At 39.1% G+C, this 19,536-nt stretch overlaps 1 annotated feature.

Annotated features, from left to right (window-relative positions):
• Window positions 1-19,536: part of a centromere (Linear centromere model derived predominantly from reads generated in PMID: 17803354. This region does not represent an actual centromere sequence, as long-range ordering of repeats and unmapped WGS contigs is not provided by the model. For details of model production, see http://arxiv.org/abs/1307.0035.) that runs on past both edges of the window.

The raw sequence follows: 19,536 nt of genomic DNA on the forward strand, positions 1-19,536 counted from the left end.
GGAGATTTCAGCCGCTTTGAGGTCAATGGTAGAATAGGAAATATCTTCTTATAGAAAGTAGACAGAACGATTCTCAGAAACTCCTTTGTGATGTGTGCGATCAACTCACAGAGTTTAACCTTTCTTTTCATAGAGCAGTTAGGAAACACTCTGTTTGTAAAGTCTGCAAGTGGATATTCAGACCTCCTTGAGGCCTTCGTTGGAAACGGGATTTCTTCATATTCTGCTAGACAGAAGTATTCTCAGTAACTTCCTTGTGTTGTGTGTATTCAACTCACAGAGTTGAACGATCCTTTACAAAGAGCAGACTTGAAACACTCTTTTTGTGGAATTTGCAAGTGGAGATTTCAGCCGCTTTGAGGTCCATGGTAGAAAAGGTAATATCTTCCTATAAAGACTAGACAGAATGATTCTCAGAAACTCCTTTGTGATGTGTGCGTTCAACTCACAGAGTTTAACCTTTCTGTTCATAGAGCAGTTAGGAAACACTCTGTTTGTATAGTCTGCAAGTGGATATTCAGACCTCCTTGAGGCCTTCGTTGGAAACGGGATTTCTTCATATTCTGCTAGACAGAAGAATTCTCAGTAACTTCCGCGTGTTGTGTGTATTCAACTCAGAGAGTTGAACGATCCTTTACACAGAGCAGACTTGAAACACTCTTTTTGTGGAATTTGCAAGTGGAGATTTCTGCCGCTTTGAGGTCAATGGTAGAAAAGGAAATATCTTCCTATAAAAACTAGACAGAATGATTCTCATAAACTCCTTTGTGATGTGTGCATTCAACTCACTGAGTTTCACCTTTCTTTTCATAGAGCAGTTAGGAAACACTCTGTTTGTAAAGTCTGCAAGTGGATATTCAGACCTCCTTGAGGCCTTCGTTGGAAACGGGATTTCTTCATATTCTGCTAGACAGAAGAATTCTCAGTAACTTCCTTGTGTTGTGTGTATTCAACTCACAGAGTTGAACGATCCTTTACACAGAGCAGACTTGAAACACTCTTTTTGTGGAATTTGCAAGTGGAGATTTCAGCTGCTTTGAGGTCAATGGTAGAAAAGGAAATATCTTCGTATAAAGACTAGACAGAAATCATTCTCAGTAAACTGCTCTGCGATGTGTGCGTTCAACTCTCAGAGTTTAACTTTTCTTTTCATTCAGCAGTTTGGAAACACTCTGTTTGTAAAGTCTGCACGTGGATAACTTGACCACTTAGAGGACTTCGTTGGAAACGGGTTTTTTTCCTGTAAGGCTAGACAGAAGAATTCCCACTAACTTCCTTGTGTTGTGTACATTCAACTCACAGAGGTGAACGTTCCCTTAGACAGAGCAGATTTGAAACACTCTTTTTGTGCAATTGGCAAGTGGAGATTTCAAGCGCTTTAAGGTCAATGGTAGAAAAGGAAATATCTTCGTTTCAAAACTAGACAGAATGATTCTCAGAAACTCCTTTGTGATGTGTGCGTTCAACTCACAGAGTTTAACCTTTCTTTTCATAGAGCATTTGGGAAACGCTCTGTTTGTAAAGTCTGCAAGTGGATATTCAGACTTCTTTGAGGTCTTCGTTGGAAGCGGGATTTCTTCATATTCTGCTAGACAGAAGAATTCTCAGTAACTTCCTTGTGTTGTGTGTATTCAACTCACAGAGTTGAACGATCCTTTACACAGAGCAGACTTGAAACACTCTTTTTGTGGAATTTGCAAGTGGAGACTTCAGCCGCTTTGAGGTCAATGGTAGAATAGGAAATATCTTCCCATAGAAACTAGACAGAATGATTCTCAGAAACTCCTTTGTGATGTGTGCGTTCAACTCACAGAGTTTAACCTTCCTTTTCATAGAGCAGTTAGGAAACACTCTGTTTGTAAAGTCTGCAAGTGTATATTCAGACATCCTTGAGGCTTTCGTTGGAAACGGGATTTCTTCATATTCTGCTAGAAAGAAGAATTCCCAGTAACTTCCTTGTGTTGTGTGTGTTCAACTCACAGAGTTGAACTTTCATTTACACAGAGCAGATTTGAAACACTCTTTTTGTGGAATTTGCAAGTGGAGATTTCAAGCGCTTTGAGGCCAAAGGCAGAAAAGGAAATGTCTTCGTTTCAAAACTAGACAGAATCATTCTCAGAAACTGCTCTGCGATGTGTGCGTTCAACTCTCAGAGTTTAACTTTTCTTTTCATTCAGAAGTTTGGAAACACTCTGTTTGTAAAGTGTGCACGTGGATAACTTGAACACTTAGAGGCCTTCGTTGGAAACGGGTTTTTTTCATGTAAGGCTAGACAGAAGAATTCCCACTAACATCCTTGTGTTGTGTGTGTTCAACTCACAGAGTTGAACTTTCATTTACACAGAGCAGATTTGAAAGACTCTTTTTGTGCAATTTGCAAATGGAGATTTCAAGCGCTTTGAGGCCAAAGACAGAAAAGGAAATATCTTCGTTTCAAAACTAGACAGAATCATTCCCACAAACTGCGTTGTGATGTGTTCGTTCAACTCACAGAGTTTAACCTTTCTGTTCATAGAGCAGTTAGGAAACACTCTGTTTCTAAAGTCTGTAAGTGGATATTCTGACATCTTGTGGCCTTCGTTGGAAACGGGGTTTCTTCATATTCTGCTAGACAGAAGAATTCTCAGTAACTTCCTTGTGTTGTGTGTATTCAACTCACACCGTTGAACGATCCTTTATACAGAGCAGACTTGAAACACTGTTTTTGTGGAATTTACAAGTGGAGATTTCAGCCGATTTGAGGTCAATGGTAGAAAAGGAAATATCTTCCTATAGAAACTAGACAGAATGATTCTCAGAAACTCCTTTGGGATGTGTGTGTCCAACTCACAGAGTTTAACCTTTCTTTTCATAGAGCAGTTAGGAAACACTCTGTTTGTAAAGTCTGCAAGAGGATATTCAGACCTCTTTGAGGCCTTCGTTGGAAACGGGTTTTTTTCATATAAGGCTAGACAGAAGAATTCCCAGTAACTTCCTTGTGTTGTGTGTGTTCAACTCACAGAGTTGAACTTTCATTTACACAGAGCAGATTTGAAACACTCTTTTTGTGGAATTTGCAGGTGGAGATTTCAAGTGCTTTGAGGCCAAAGGCAGAAAAGGAAATATCTTCGTATAAAAACTAGACAGAATGATTCTCAGAAACTCCTTTGTGATGTGGGTGTTCAACTCACAGTGTTTAACCTTTCTTTTCATAGAGCAGTTTGGAAACACTCTGTTTGAAAAGTCTGCACGTGTATAATATGACCACTTAGAGGCCTTCGTTGGAAACGGGTTTTTTTTCATGTAAGGCTAGACAGAAGAATTCCCAGTAACTTCCTTGTGTTGTGTGCATTCAACTCACAGAGTTGAACGTTCCCTTAGACAGAGCAGATTTGAAACACTCTATTTGTGCAATTTGCAAGTGTAGTTTTCAAGCTCTTTAAGGTCAACAGCAGAAAAGGAAATATCTTCGTTTCAAAACTAGACAGAATCATTCCCACAAACTGCGTTGTGATGTGTTCGTTCAACTCACAGAGTTTAACCTTTCTTTTCATAGAGCAGTTAGGAAACAGTGGGTTTGTAAATTCTGTAAGTGGATATTCTGACATCTTGTGGCCTTCGTTGGAAACGGGATTTCTTCATATTCTGCTAGACAGAAGAATTCTCAGAAACTTCCTTGTGTTGTGTGTATTCAACTCACAGAGTTGAACGATCCTTTACACAGAGCAGACTTGAAACACTCTTTTTGTGGAATTTGCAAGTGGAGATTTCTGCCGCTTTGAGGTCAATGGTAGAATAGTAAATATCTTCCTATAGAAACTAGACAGAATGGTTCTGAGAAATCCTTTGTGAGGTGTGCGTTCAACTCACAGAGTTTAACCTTTCTTTTCATAGAGCAGTTAGGAAACACTCTGTTTTTAAAGTCTTCAAGTGGATATTCAGACCTCCTTGAGGCCTTCGTTGGAAACGGGATTTCTTCATATTATGCTAGACAGAAGAATTCTCAGTAACTTCCTTGTGTTGTGTGTATTCAACTCACAGAGTTGAACGATCCTTTACACAGAGCAGACTTGAAACACTCTTTTTGTGGAATTTGCAAGTGGAGATTTCAGCCGCTTTGAGGTCAATAGTAGAAAAGGAAATATCTTCATAGAAAAACTAGACAGAATGATTCTCAGAAACTCCTTTGTGCTGTGTGCGTTCAGCTCACAGAGTTTAACCTTTCTTTTCATAGAGTAGTTAGGAAACACTCTGTTTGTAAAGTCTGCAAGTGGATATTCAGACATCTTTGAGGCCTTCGTTGGAAACGGGATTTCTTCATATTCTGCTAGACAGAAGAATTCTCAGTAACTTCCTTGTGTTGTGTGTATTCAACTGACAGAGTTGAACTTTCATTTAGAGAGAGCAGATTTGTAACACTGTTTTTGTGGAATTTGCAAGTGGAGATTTCAAGCGCTTTGGGGCCAAAGGCAGAAAAGGAAATATCGTCGTATAAAAACTAGACAGAATCATTCTCAGAAACTGCTGCGTGATGTGTGCGTTCAACTCTCAGAGTTTAACTTTTCTTTTCATTCAGCGGTTTGGAAACACTCTGTTTGTAAAGTCTGCACGTGGAAATTTTGACCACTTAGAGGCCTTCTTTGGAAACGGGTTTTTTTCATGTAAGGCTAGACAGAAGAATTCCCAGTAACTTCCTTGTGTTGTGTGCATTCAACTCACAGAGTTGAACGTTCCCTTAGACAGAGCAGATTTGAAACACTCTATTTGTGCAATTTGCAAGTGTAGTTTTCAAGCTCTTTAAGGTCAACGGCAGAAAAGGAAATATCTTCGTTTCAAAACTAGACAGAATGATTCTCAGAAACTCCTTTGTGATGTGTGTGTTCAACTCACAGAGTTTAACCTTTCTTTTCATAGAGCAGTTACTAAACACTCTGTTTATAAAGTCTGCAAGTGGATATTCAGACCCCTTTGAGGCCTTCGTTGGAAACGGGATTTCTTCATATTATGCTAGACAGAAGAATTCTCAGTAACTTCCTTGTGTTGTGTGTATTCAACTCACAGAGTTGAACGAACCTTTACACAGAGCAGACTTGAAACACTCTTTTTGTGGAATTTGCAAGTGGAGATTTCATCCCCTTTGAGGTCAATGGTAGAAAAGGAAATATCTTCGTATAAAAACTAGACAGAATGATTCTCATAAACTTCTTTGTGATGTGTGCGTTCAACTCACAGAGTTTAACCTTTCTTTTCATAGAGCAGTTAGGAAACACTCTGTTTGTAAACTCTGCAAGTGGATATTCAGACCTCTTTGAGGCCTTCGTTGGAAACGGGATTTCTCCATACTGTGCTAGACAGAAGAATTCCCAGTAACTTCCTTGTGTTGTGTGTGTTCAACTCACAGAGTTGAACTTTCATGTACACAGAGCAGATTTGAAACACTCTTTTTGTGGAATTTGCAAATGGAGATTTCAAGCGCTTTGAGGCCAAAGGCAGAAAAGGAAATATCTTCGTATAAAAACTAGACAGAAATCATTCTCAGAAACTGCTCTGCGATGTGTGCGTTCAACTCTCAGGAGTTTAACTTTTCTTTTCATTCAGCAGTTTGGAAACACTCTGTTTGTAAAGTCTGCACGTGGATATTTTGACCACTTAGAGGCCTTCGTTGGAAACGGGTTTTTTTCCTGTAAGGCTAGACAGAAGAATTCCCAGTAACTTCCTTGTGTTGTGTACATTCAACTCACAGAGTTGAACGTTCCCTTAGACAGAACAGATTTGAAACACTCTTTTTGTGCAATTGGCAAATGGAGATTTCAAGCGCTTTGAGGTCAATGGTAGAAAAGGAAATATCTTCGTTTCAAAACTAGACAGAATCATTCCCACAAACTGCGTTGTGATGTGTTCGTTCAACTCACAGAGTTTAACCTTTCTTTTCATAGAGTAGTTAGGAAACAGTCTGTTTGAAAATTCTGTAAGTAGATATTCTGACAGCTTGTGGCCTTCGTTGGAAACGGGATTTCTTCATATTCTGCTAGACAGACGAATTCTCAGTAACTTCCTTGTGTTGTGTGTATTCAACTCACAGAGTTGAACGATCCTTTACACAGAGCAGACTTGTAACACTCTTTTTGTGGAATTTGCAAGTGGAGATTTCAGCCCCTTTGAAGTCAAAGGTAGAAAAGGAAATATCTTCCTATAAAAACTAGACAGAATGATTCTCAGAAACTTCTTTTTGATGTGTGCGTTCAACTCACAGAGTTTAACCTTTCTTTTCATAGAGCAGTTAGGAAACACTCTGTTTGTAAACTCTGCAAGTGGATATTCAGACCTGTTTGAGGCCTTCGTTGGAAACGGGATTTCTTCATACTATGCTAGACAGAAGAATTCTCAGTAACTTCCTTGTGTTGTGTGTATTCAACTCACAGAGTTGAACGATCCTTTACACAGAGCGGACTTGAAACACACTTTTTGTGGAATTTGCAAGTGGAGATTTCAGCCGCGTTGAGGTCAATGGTAGAAAAGGAAATATCTTCGTTTCAAAACTAGACAGAATGATTCTCAGAAACTCCTTTGTGATGTGTGCGTTCAACTCACAGAGTTTCACTTTTCTTTTCATAGAGCAGTTAGGAAACACTCTGTTTGTAAAGTCTGCAAGTGGATATTCAGACCTCTTTGAGGCCTTCGGTGGAAACGGGATTTCTTCATATTATGCTAGACAGAAGAATTCCCAGTAACTTCCTTGTGTTGTGTGTGTTCAACTCACAGAGTTGAACTTTCATTTACACAGAGCAGATTTGAAACACTCTTTTCGTGAAATTTGCAAGTGGAGATTTCAAGCGCTTTGAGGCCAAAGGCAGAAAAGGAAATATCTTCGTATAAAAACTAGACAGAATAATTCTCAGAAACTGCTCTGTGATGTGTGCGTTCATCTCTCAGAGTTTAACTGTTCTTTTCATTCAGCAGTTTGGAAACACTCTGTTTGTAAAGTCTGCACGTGGATATTTTGACCACTTAGAGGCCTTCGTTGGAAACGGGTTTTTTTCATGTAAGGCTAGACAGAAGAATTCCCAGTAACTTCCTTGTGTTGTGTACATTCAACTCACAGAGTTGAACGTTCCCTTAGACAGAGCAGATTTGAAACACTCTTTTTGTGCAATTGGCAAGTGGAGATTTCAAGCGCTTTAAGGTCAATGGCAGAAAAGGAAATATCTTCGTTTCAAAGCTAGACAGTATGATTCTCAGAAACTTCTTTGTGATGTGTGCGTTCAACTCACAGAGTTTAACCTTTCTTTTCATAGAGCAGTTAGGAAACACTCTGTTTGTAAACTCTGCAAGTGGATATTAAGACCTCTTTGAGGCCTTCGTTGGAAACGGGATTTCTTCATACTGTGCTAGACAGAAGAATTCTCAGTAACTTCCTTGTGTTGTGTGTATTCAACTCACAGAGTTGAACGATCCTTTACACAGAGCGGAATTGAAACACTCTTTTTGTGAAACTTGCAAGTGGAGATTTCAGCCGCGTTGAGGTCAATGGTAGAAAAGGAAATCTCTTCGTATAAAAACTAGACAGAGTGATTCTCAGAAACTCCTTTGTGATGTCTGCGTTCAACTCACCGAGTTTAACCTTTCTTTTCATAGAGCAGTTAGGAAACACTCTGTTTGTAAAGTCTGCAAGTGGATATTCAGACCTCCTTGAGGCCTTCGTTGGAAACGGGATTTCTTCATATTCTGCTATACAGAAGAATTCCCAGTAACTTTCCTTGTGTTGTGTGTGTTCAACTCACAGAGTTGAACTTTCATTTACACAGAGCAGATTTGAAACACTCTTTTTGTGGAATTTGCAAGTGGAGATTTCAAGCGCTTTGAGGCCAAAGGCAGAAAAGGAAATATCTCCGTTTCAAAACTAGACAGAATCATTCTCAGAAACTGCTCTGCGATGTGTGCGTTCAACTCTCAGAGTTTAACTTTTCTTTTCATTCAGCAGTTTGGAAACACTCTGTTTGTAAAGTCTGCACGTGGATATTTTGACCATTTAGAGGCCTTCGTTGGAAACGGGTTTTTTTTCTTGTAAGGCTAGACAGAAGAATTCCCAGGAACTTCCTTGTGTTGTGTACATTCAACTCACAGAGTTGAACGTTCCCTTAGACAGAGCAGATTTGAAACACTCTTTTTGTGCAATTGGCAAGTGGTGATTTCAGCCGCTTTGAGGTCAATGGTAGAAAAGGAAATATCTTCGTATAAAAACTAGACAGAATCATTCCCACAAACTGCGTTGTGATGTGTTCGTTCAACTCACAGAGTTTAACCTTTCTGTTCATAGAGCAGTTAGGAAACACTCTGTTTGTAAAGTCTGCAAGTGGATATTCAGACCTCTTTGAGGCCTTCGTTGGAAACGGGATTTCTTCATATTCTGCTAGACAGAAGAATTCTCAGTAACTTCATTGTGTTGTGTGTATTCAACTCACAGATTTCAACGATCCTTTACACAGAGCAGACTTGAAACACTCTTTTTCTGGAATTTGCAAGTGGAGATTTCAGCCGCTTTGAGGTCAATGGTAGAATAGGAAATATCTTCCTATAGACACTAGACAGAATGATTCTCAGAAACTCCTTTATGATGTGTGCGTTCAACTCACAGAGTTTAACCTTTCTGTTCATAGAGCAGTTAGGAAACACTCTGTTTGTAAAGTCTGCAAGTGGATATTCAGACCTCCTTGAGGCCTTCGGTGGAAACGGGATTTCTTCATATTCTGCTAGACAGAAGAATTCTCAGTAACTTCCTTGTGTTGTGTGTATTCAACTCACAGAGTTGAACGATCCTTTACACAGAGCAGACTTGAAACACTCTTTTTGTGGAATTTGCAAGTGGAGATTTCAGCCGATTTGAGTTCAATGGTAGAATAGGAAATATCTTCCTATAGAAACTAGACAGAATGATTCTCAGAAACTCCTTTGTGATGTGTGCGTTCAACTCATAGAGTTTAACCTTTCTTTTCATAGAGCAGTTAGGAAACACTCTGTTTGTAAAGTCTGCAAGTGGATATTCAGACCTCTTTGAGGCCATCGTTGGAAACGGGATTTCTTCATATTCTGCTAGAGAGAAGAATTCTCAGTAACTTCCTTGTGTTGTGTGTATTCAACTCACAGAGTTGAACGATCCTTTACACAGAGCAGACTTGAAACTCTCTTTTTGTGGAATTTGCAAGTGGAGATTTCAGCCGCTTTGAGGTCAATAGTAGAAAAGTAAATATCTTCGTAGAAAAACTAGACAGAATGATTCTCAGAAACTCTTTTGTGATGTGGGCGTTCAACTCACAGAGTTTAACCATTCTTTTCATAGAGCAGTTAGGAAACACTCTGTTTGTAAAGTCTGCATGTGGATATTTGGACTTCTTTGAGGCCTTCGTTGGAAACGGGTTTTTTTCATGTAAGGCTAGACAGAAGAATTCTCAGTAACTTCCTTGTGTTTTGTGTATTCAACTCACAGAGTTGAACGATCCTTTACACAGAGCAGACTTGAAACACTCTTTTTGTGGAATTTGCAAGTGGATATTTCAGCCGCTTTGAGTTCAATGGTAGAATAGGAAATATCTTCCTATAGAAACTAGACAGAATGATTCTCAGAAACTCCTTTGTGATGTGTGCGTTCAACTCACAGATTTCAACCTTTCTTTTCATAGAGCAGTTGGGAAACACTCTGTTTGTAAAGTCTGCAAGTGGATATTCAGACTTCTTTGAGGCCTTCGTTGAAAGCGGGATTTCTTCATATTCTGCTAGACAGAAGAATTCTCAGTAACTTCCTTGTGTTGTGTGTATTCAACTCACAGAGTTGCACGATCGTTTACACAGAGCAGACTTGAAACACTCTTTTTGTGGAATTTGCAAGTGGAGATTTCAGCCGCTTTGAGGTCAATAGTAGAAAAGGAAATATCTTCGTAGAAAAACTACACAGAATGATTCTCAGAAACTCCTTTGTGATGTGGGTGTTCAACTCACAGAGTTTAACCTTTCTTTTCATAGAGCAGTTAGGAAACACTCTGTTTGTAAAGTCTGCAAGTGGATATTTTCACCTCTTTGAGGCCTTCATTGGAAACGGGTTTTTTTTCATGTAAGGCTAGACAGAAGAATTCTCAGTAACTTCCTTGTGTTGTGTGTATTCAACTGACAGAGTTGAACTTTCATTTAGACAGAGCAGATTTGAAACACTCTTTTTCTGGAATTTGCAAGTGGAGATTTCAAGCGCTTTGAGGCCAAAGGCAGAAAAGGAAATATCTTCGTATAAAAACTACACAGAATCATTCTCAGAAACTGCTCTGCGATGTGTGCGTTCAACTCTCAGAGTTTAACTTTTCTTTTCATTCAGCAGTTTGGAAACACTCTGTTTGTAAAGTCTGCACGTGGATATTTTGACCATTTAGAGGCCTTCGTTGGAAACGGGTTTTGTCCTTGTAAGCCTAGACAGAAGAATTCCCAGTAACTTCCTTGTGTTGTGTGCATTCAACTCACAGAGTTGAACGTTCCCTTAGACAGAGCAGATTTGAAACACTCTATTTGTGCAATTTGCAAGTGTAGTTTTCAAGCTCTTTAAGGTCAACGGCAGAAAAGGAAATATCTTGGTTTCAAAACTAGACAGAATGATTCTCAGAAACTCCTTTGTGATGTGTGCGTTCAACTCACAGAGTTTAACCTTACTGTTCATAGAGCAGTTAGGAAACACTCTGTTTGTAAAGTCTGCAAGTGGATATTCAGACCTCTTTGAGGCCTTCGTTGGAAACGGGATTTCTTCATATTATGCTAGACAGAAGAATTCTCAGTAACTTCCTTGTGTTGTGTGTATTCAACTCACAGAGTTGAACGATCCTTTACACAGAGCAGACTTGAAACACTCTTTTTGTGGAATTTGCAAGTGGAGATTTCAGCCGCTTTGAGTTCAATGGTAGAATAGGAATTATCTTCCTACAGAAACTAGACAGAATGATTCTCAGAAACTCCTTTGTGATGTGTGTGTTCAACTCACAGAGTTTAAGCTTTCTTTTCATAGAGCAGTTAGTAAACACTCTGTTTATAATGTCTGCAAGTGGATATTCAGACCCCTTTGACGCCTTCGTTTGAAACGGGATTTCTTCATATTATGCTAGACAGAAGAATTCTCAGTAACTTCCTTGTGTTGTGTGTATTCAACTGACAGAGTTGAACTTTCATTTAGAGAGAGCAGATTTGAAACACTGTTTTTGTGGAATTTGCAAGTGGAGATATCAAGCGCCTTGGGGCCAAAGGCAGAAAAGGAAATATCTTCGTATAAAAAGTAGACAGAATGATTCTCAGAAACTTCTTTGTGATGTGTGCGTTCAACTCACAGAGTTTAACCTTTCTTTTCATAGAGCAGTTAGGAAACACTCTGTTTGTAAACTATGCAAGTGGATATTCAGACCTCTTTGAGGCCTTCGTTGGATACGGGATTTCTTCATACTATGCTAGACAGAAGAATTCTCAGTAACTTCCCTTGTGTTGTGTGTATTCAACTCACAGAGTTGAACGATCCTTTACACAGAGCAGACTTGAAACATTCTTTTTGTGGAATTTGCAAGGGGAGATTTCAGCCGCTTTGAGGTCAATGGTAGAATAGGAAATATCTTCCTATAGAAACTAGACAGAATGATTTTCAGAAACTGCTTTGTGATGTGTGCGTTCAACTCACAGAGTTTCACCTTTCTTTTCATAGAGCAGTTAGGAAACACTCTGTTTGTAAAGTCTACAAGTGGATATTCAGACCTCTTTGAGGCCTTCGTTGGAAACGGGATTTCTTCATATTATGCTAGACAGAAGAATTCTCAGTAACTTCCTTGTGTTGTGTGTATTCAACTGACAGAGTTGAACTTTCATTTGGAGAGAGCAGATTTGAAACACTGTTTTTTTGGAATTTGCAAGTGGAGATTTCAAGCGCTTTGGGGCCAAAGGCAGAAAAGGAAATATCTTCGTATAAAAACTAGACAGAATCATTCTCAGAAACTGCTCTGTGATGTGTACGTTCAACTCTCAGCAGTTTAACTTTTCTTTTCATTCAGCAGTTTGGAAACACTCTGTTCGTAAAGTCTGCACGTGGATAATTTGACCACTTAGAGGCCTTCGTTGGAAACGGGTTTTTTTCATGTAAGGCTAGACAGAAGAATTCTCAGTAACTTCCTTGTGTTGTGTGTATTCAACTCACAGAATTGAACGATCCTTTACACAGAGCAGACTTGAAACACTCTTTTTGTGGAATTTGCAAGTGGAGATTTCAGCCGCTTTGAGGTCAATAGTAGAAAAGGAAATATCTTCGTAGAAAAACTAGACAGAATGATTCTCAGAAAATGTTTTGTGATGTGTGCGTTCAACTCACAGAGTTTAACTTTTCTTCTCATAGAGCAGTTAGGAAACACTCTGTTTGTAAAGTCTGCAAGTGGATATTGAGACCTCTTTGAGGCCTTCGTTGGAAACGGGATTTCTTCATATTATGCTAGACAGAAGAATTCTCAGTAACTTCCTTGTGTTGTGTGTATTCAACTGACAGAGTTGAACTTTCATTTAGAGAGAGCAGATTTGAAACACTGTTTTTGTGGAATTTGCAAGTGGAGATTTCAAGCGCTTTGAGGTCAATGGTAGAATAGGAAATATCTTCCTATAGAAACTAGACAGAATCATTCTCAGAAACTGCTGCGTGATGTGTGAGTTCAACTCTCAGAGTTTAACTTTTCTTTTCATTCAGCGGTTTGGAAACACTCTGTTTGTAAAGTCTGCACGTGGAAATTTTGACCACTTAGAGGCCTTCGTTGGAAACGGGTTTTCTTCATGTAAGGCTAGACAGAAGAATTCCCAGTAACTTCCTTGTGTTGTGTACATTCAACTCACAGAGTTGAACGTTCCCTTAGACAGAGCAGATTTGAAACACTCTTTTTGTGCAATTGGCTAGTGTTGATTTCAGCCGCTTTGAGGTCAATTGTATAAAAGGATATATCTTCATATAAAAACTAGACAGAATGATTCTCAGAAACTCCTTTGTGATGTGTGCGTTCAACTCACAGAGTTTAACCTTTCTTTCCATAGAGCAGTTAGGAAACACTCTGTTTGTAAAGTCTGCAAGTGGATATTCAGACCTCTTTGAGGCCTTCGTTGGAAACGGGTTTTTTTCTTATAAGGCTAGACAGAAGAATTCTCAGTAACTTCCTTGTGTTGTGTGTATTCAACTCACAGAGTTGAACGATCCTTTACACAGAGCAGACTTGAAACACTCTGTTTGTGGAATTTGCAAGTGGAGATTTCAGCCGCTTTGAGGTCAATAGTAGAAAAGGAAATATCTTCGTAGAAAAACTAGACAGAATGATTCTCAGAAACTCCTTTGTGATGTGTGCGTTCAACTCACAGAGTTTAAACTTTCTTTTCATAGAGCAGTTAGGAAACACTCTGTTTGTAAAGTCTGCAAGTGGATATTCAGACCTCTTTGAGGCCTTCGTTGGAAACGGGTTTTTTTCATATAAGGCTAGACAGAAGAATTCCCAGTAACTTCCTTGTGTTGTGTGTGTTCAACTCACAGAGTTGAACTTTCATTTACACAGAAAAGATTTGAAACACTCTTTTTGTGGAATTTGCAAGTGGAGATTTCAAGCGCTTTGAGGCCAAAGGCAGAAAAGGAAATATCTCCGTTTCAAAACTAGACAGAATCATTCTCAAAAACTGCTCTGCGATGTTTGCGTTCAACTCTCAGAGTTTAACTTTTCTTTTCATTCAGCAGTTTGGAAACACTCTGTTTGTAAAGTCTGCACGTGGATAACTTGACCACTTAGAGGACTTCGTTGGAAACGGGTTTTTTTCCTGTAAGGCTAGACAGAAGAATTCCCAGTAACTTCCTTGTGTTGTGTACATTCAACTCACAGAGTTGAACGTTCCCTTAGACAGAGCAGATTTGAAACACTCTTTTTGTGCAATTGGCAAATGGAGATTTCAAGCGCTTTAAGTTCAATGGCAGAAAAGGAAATATCTTCGTTTCAAAACTAGACAGAATCATTCTCAGAAACTGCTCTGCGATGTGTGCGTTCAACTCTCAGAGTTTAACTTTTCTTTTCATAGAGCAGTTAGGAAACAGTCTGTTTGTCAATTCTGTAAGTGGATATTCTGACATCTTGTGGCCTTCGTTGGAAACGGGATTTCTTCATATTCTGCTAGACAGAAGAATTCTCAGAATCTTCCTTGTGTTGTGTGTATTCAACTCACAGATTTGAACGATCCTTTACACAGAGCAGACTTGAAACACTCTTTTTGTGGAATTTGCAAGTGGAGATTTCAGCCGCTTTGAGGTCCATGGTAGAAAAGGAAATATCTTCGTATAAAAACTAGACAGAATGATTCTCAGAAACTCCTTTGTGATGTGTGCGTTCAACTCACAGAGTTTAACCTTTCTTTTCATAGAGCAGTTAGGAAACACTCTGTTTGTAAAGTCTGCAAGTTGATATTCAGACCTCTTTGAGGCCTTCGTTGGAAACGGGATTTCTTCATATTATGCTAGACAGAAGAATTCTCAGTAACTTCCTTGTGTTGTGTGTATTCAACTCACAGAGTTGAACGATCCTTTACACAGAGCAGACTTGAAACACTCTTTTTATGGAATTTGCAAGTGGAGATTTCAGCCGCTTTGAGGTCAATGGTAGAAAAGGAAATATCTTCGTATAAAAACTAGACAGAATGATTCTCATAAACTCCTTTGTGATGTGTGCGTTCAACTCACAGAGTTTAACCTTTCTTTTCATAGAGCAGTTAGGAAACACTCTCTTTGTGAAGTCTGCAAGTGGATATTCAGACCTCCTTGAGGCCTTCGTTGGAAACGGGATTTCTTCATATTCTGCTAGACAGAAGAATTCTCAGTAACTTCCTTGTGTTGTGTTTATTCAACTCACAGAGTTAATGATCCTTTACACAGAGCAGACTTGAAACACTCTTTTTGTGGCATTTGCAAGTGGAGATTTCAGCCGCTTTGAGGTCAATGGTAGAAAAGTAAATATCTTCGTATAAAGACTAGACAGAATCATTCTCAGAAACTGCTCTGCGATGTGTGCGTTCAACTCTCAGAGTTCAACTTTTCTTTTCATTCAGCAGTGTGGAAACACTCTGTTTGTAAAGTCTGCACGTGGATATTTTGACCACTTAGAGGCCTTTGTTGGAAACGGGTTTTTTTCCTGTAAGGCTAGACAGAAGTTTTCCCAGTAACTTCCTTGTGTTGTGTACATTCAACTCACAGAGTTGAACGTTCCCTTAGACAGAGCAGATTTGAAACACTCTTTTTGTGCAATTGGCAAATGGAGATTTCAAGCGCTTTAAGGTCAATGGCAGAAAAGGAAATATCTTCGTTTCAAAACTAGACAGAATCATTCCCACAAACTGCGTTGTGATGTGTTCGTTCAACTCACAGAGTTTAACCTTTCTGTTCATAGAGCAGTTAGGAAACACTCTGTTTGTAAAGTCTGTAAGTGGATATTCTGACATCTTGTGGCCTTCGTTGGAAACGGGATTTCTTCATATTATGGTAGACAGAAGAATTCTCAGTAACTTCCTTGTGTTGTGTGTATTCAACTCACAGAGTTAAACGATCCTTTACACAGAGCAGACTTGAAACACTCTTTTTGTGGAATTTGCAAGTGGAGATTTCAGCCGCTTTGAGGTCAATGGTAGAAAAGGAAACTATCTTCATATAAACACTAGACAGAATGATTCTCAGAAACTCCTTTGTGATGTGTGTGTTCAACTCACAGAGTTTAACCTTTCTTTTCATAGAGCAGTTAGTAAACACTCTGTTTATAAAGTCTGCAAGTAGATATTCAGACCCCTTTGAGGCCTTCGTTGGAAACGGGATTTCTTCATATTATGCTAGACAGAAGAATTCTCAGTAACTTCCCTTGTGTTGTGTGTATTCAACTCACAGAGTTGAACGATCCTTTACACAGAGCAGAGTTGAAACATTCTTTTTGTGGAATTTGCAAGTGGAGATTTCAGCCGCTTTGAGGTCAATGGTAGAATAGCAAATATCTTCCTATAGAAACTAGACAGAATGATTCTCAGAAACTCCTTTGTGATGTGTGCATTCAACTCACAGAGTTTAACCTTTCTTTTCATAGAACAGTTAGGAAACACTCTGTTTGTAAAGTCTTCAGGTGGATATTCAGACCTCTTAGAGGCCTTCGTTGGAAACAGGATTTCTTCATATTATGCTAGACAGAAGAATTCTCAGCAATCTTCCTTGTGTTGTGTGTATTCAACTCACAGAGTTGAACGATGGTTTACACAGAGCAGATTTGAAACACTCTTTTTGTGGAATTTGCAAGTGGAGATTTCAGCCGCTTTGAGGTCAATGGTAGAAAAGGAAATATCTTCCTATAAAAACTAGACAGAATGATTCTCAGAAACTCCTTTGTGATGTGTGCGTTCAACTCACAGAGTTTCACTTTTCTTTTCATAGAGCAGTTACGAAACACTCTGTTTGTAAAGTCTTCAAGTGGATATTCAGACCTCTTTGAGGCCTTCGTTGGAAACGGGATTTCTTCATATTCTGCTACACAGAAGAATTCTCAGTAACTTCCTTGTGTTGTGTGTATTCAACTCACAGAGTTGAACGATCCTTTACACAGAGCAGACTTGAAACACTCTTTTTGTGGAATTTGCAAGTGGAGATTTCAGCCGCTTTGAGGTCAATGGTAGAAAAGGAAACTATCTTCATATAAAGACTAGACTGAATCATTCTCAGAAACTGCTCTGTGATGTGTGCATTCAACTCTCAGAGTTTAACTTTTCTTTTCATTCAGCAGTTTGGAAACACTCTGTTTGTAAAGTCTGCACGTGGATAATTTGACCACTTAGAGGCCTTCGTTGGAAACGGGTTTTTTTCATGTAAGGCTAGACAGAAGAATTCTCAGTAACTTCCTTGTGTTGTGTGTATTCAACTCACACAGTTGAACGATCCTTTACACAGAGCAGACTTGTAACACACTTTTTGTGGAATTTGCAAGTGGAGATTTCAGCCGCTTTGAAGTCAAAGGTAGAAAAGGAAATATCTTCCTATAAAAACTAGACAGAATGATTCTCAGAAACTCCTTTGTGATGTGTGCGTTCAACTCACAGAGTTTAACCTTTCTTTTCATAGAGCAGTTAGGAAACACTCTGTTTGAAAAGTCTGCAAGTGGATATTCAGACCTCTTAGAGGCCTTCGTTGGAAACGGGATTTCTTCATATTATGCTAGACAGAAGAATTTTCAGTAACTTCCTTGTGTAGTGTGTATTCAACTCACAGAGTTGAACGATCCTTTACACAGAGCAGACTTGAAACACTCTTTTTGTGGAATTTGCAAGTGGAGATTTCAGCCGCTTTGAGGTCAATGGTAGAAAAGGAAATATCTTCGTATAAAGACAAGACAGAATGATTCTCAGAAACTCCTTTGTGATGTGTGCGTTCAACTCACAGAGTTTAACCTTTCTTTTCATAGAGCACTTAGGAAACACTCTGTTTGTAAAGTCTGCAAGTGGATATTCAGACCTCTTTGAGGCCATCGTTGGAAACGGGATTTCTTCATATTCTGCTAGACAGAAGAATTCTCAGTAACTTCCTTGTGTTGTGTGTATTCAACTCACAGAGTTGAACGATCCTTTACACAGAGCAGACTTGAAACACTCTTTTTGTGGAATTTGCAAGTGGAGATTTCACCCGCTTTGAGGTCAATGGTAGAAAAGGAAATATCTTCGTATAAAGACTAGACTGAATGATTCTCAGAAACTCCTTTGTGATGTGTGCGTTCAACTCACAGAGTTTAACCTTTCTTTTCATAGAGCAGTTAGGAAACACTCTGTTTGTAAAGTCTGCAAGTGGATATTCAGACCTCCTTGAGGCCTTCATTGGAAACAGGATTTCTTCATATTCTGCTAGACAGAAGAATTCTCAGTAACTTCCTTGTGTTGTGTGTATTCAACTCACAGAGTTGAACGATCCTTTACAGCAGAGCAGACTTGAAACACTCTTTTTGTGGAATTTGCAAGTGGAGATTTCAGCCGCTTTGAGGTCAATGGTAGAAAAGGAAATATCTTCCTATAAAGACTAGACAGAGTGATTCTCAGAAACTCCTTTGTGATGTCTGCGTTCAACTCACAGAGTTTAACCTTTCTTTTCATAGAGCAGTTAGGAAACACTCTGTTTGTAAAGTCTGCAAGTGGATATTCAGACCTTCTTGAGGCCTTCGTTGGAAACGGGATTTCTTCATATTATGCTAGACAGAAGAATTCTCAGTAACTTCCTTGTGTTCTCTGTATTCAACTCACAGAGTTGAACGATCCTTTACAGAGAGCAGACTTGAAACACTCTTTTTGTGGAATTTGCAAGTGGAGATTTCAGCCGCTTTGAGGTCAATGGTAGAAAAGGAAATATCTTCGTATAAAGACTAGACAGAATGATTCTCAGAAACTCCTTTGTGATGTGTGCGTTCAACTCACAGAGTTTAACCTTTGTTTTCATAGAGCAGTTAGGAAACACTCTGTTTGTAAAGTCTGCAAGTGGATATTCAGACATCTTTGAGGCCTTCGTTGGAAACGGGATTTCTTCATGTTCTGCTGGACAGAAGAATTCTCAGAATCTTCCTTGTGTTGTGTGTCTTCAAGTCACAGAGTTGAACAATGGTTTACACAGAGCAGATTTGAAACACTCTTTTTGTGGAATTTGCAAGTGGAGATTTCAGCCGCTTTGAGGTCAATGGTAGAAAAGGAAATATCTTCGTATAAAAACTAGACAGAATGATTCTCAGAAACTCCTTTATGATGTGTGCGTTCAACTCACAGAGTTTAACCTTTCTTTTCATAGAGCAGTTAGGAAACACTCTGTTTGTAAACTCTGCAAGTGGATATTCAGACCTCTTTGAAGCCTTGGTTGGAAACGGGATTTCTTCATATTATGCCTGAGAGAAGAATTCTCAGTAACTGCCTTGTGTTGTGTGTATTCAACTCACAGAGTTGAATGATCCTTTACACAGAGCAGACTTGAAACACTCCTTTTGTGGAATTTGCAAGTGGAGATTTCAGCCGCTTTGAGGTCAATGGTAGAATAGGAAATATCTTCCTATAGAAACTAGACAGAATGATTCTCAGAAACTCCTTTGTGATGTGTGTGTTCAACTCACAGAGTTTAACCTTTCTTTTCATGGAGCAGTTAGGAAACACTCTGTTTGTAAAGTCTGCAAGGGGATATTCAGACCTCTTTGAGGCTTCCGTTGGAAACGGGATTTCTTCATATTCTGCTAGACAGAAGAATTCTCAGTAACTTCATTGTGTTGTGTGTATTCAACTCACAGAGTTGAACGATCCTTTACACAGAGCAGACTTGAAACACTCTTTTTGTGGAATTTGCAAGTGGAGATTTCAGCCGCTTTGAGGTCAATGGTAGAAAAGGAAATATCTTCGTATAAAGACTAGACAGAATGATTCTCAGAAACTCCTTTGCGATGTGTGCATTCAACTCACAGAGTTTAACCTTTCTTTTCACAGAGCAGTTAGGAAACA

This window comes from Homo sapiens, chromosome 19, assembly GCF_000001405.40.
Source record: "Homo sapiens chromosome 19, GRCh38.p14 Primary Assembly".
In the NCBI taxonomy this organism is placed as follows: Eukaryota; Metazoa; Chordata; class Mammalia; order Primates; family Hominidae; genus Homo; species Homo sapiens.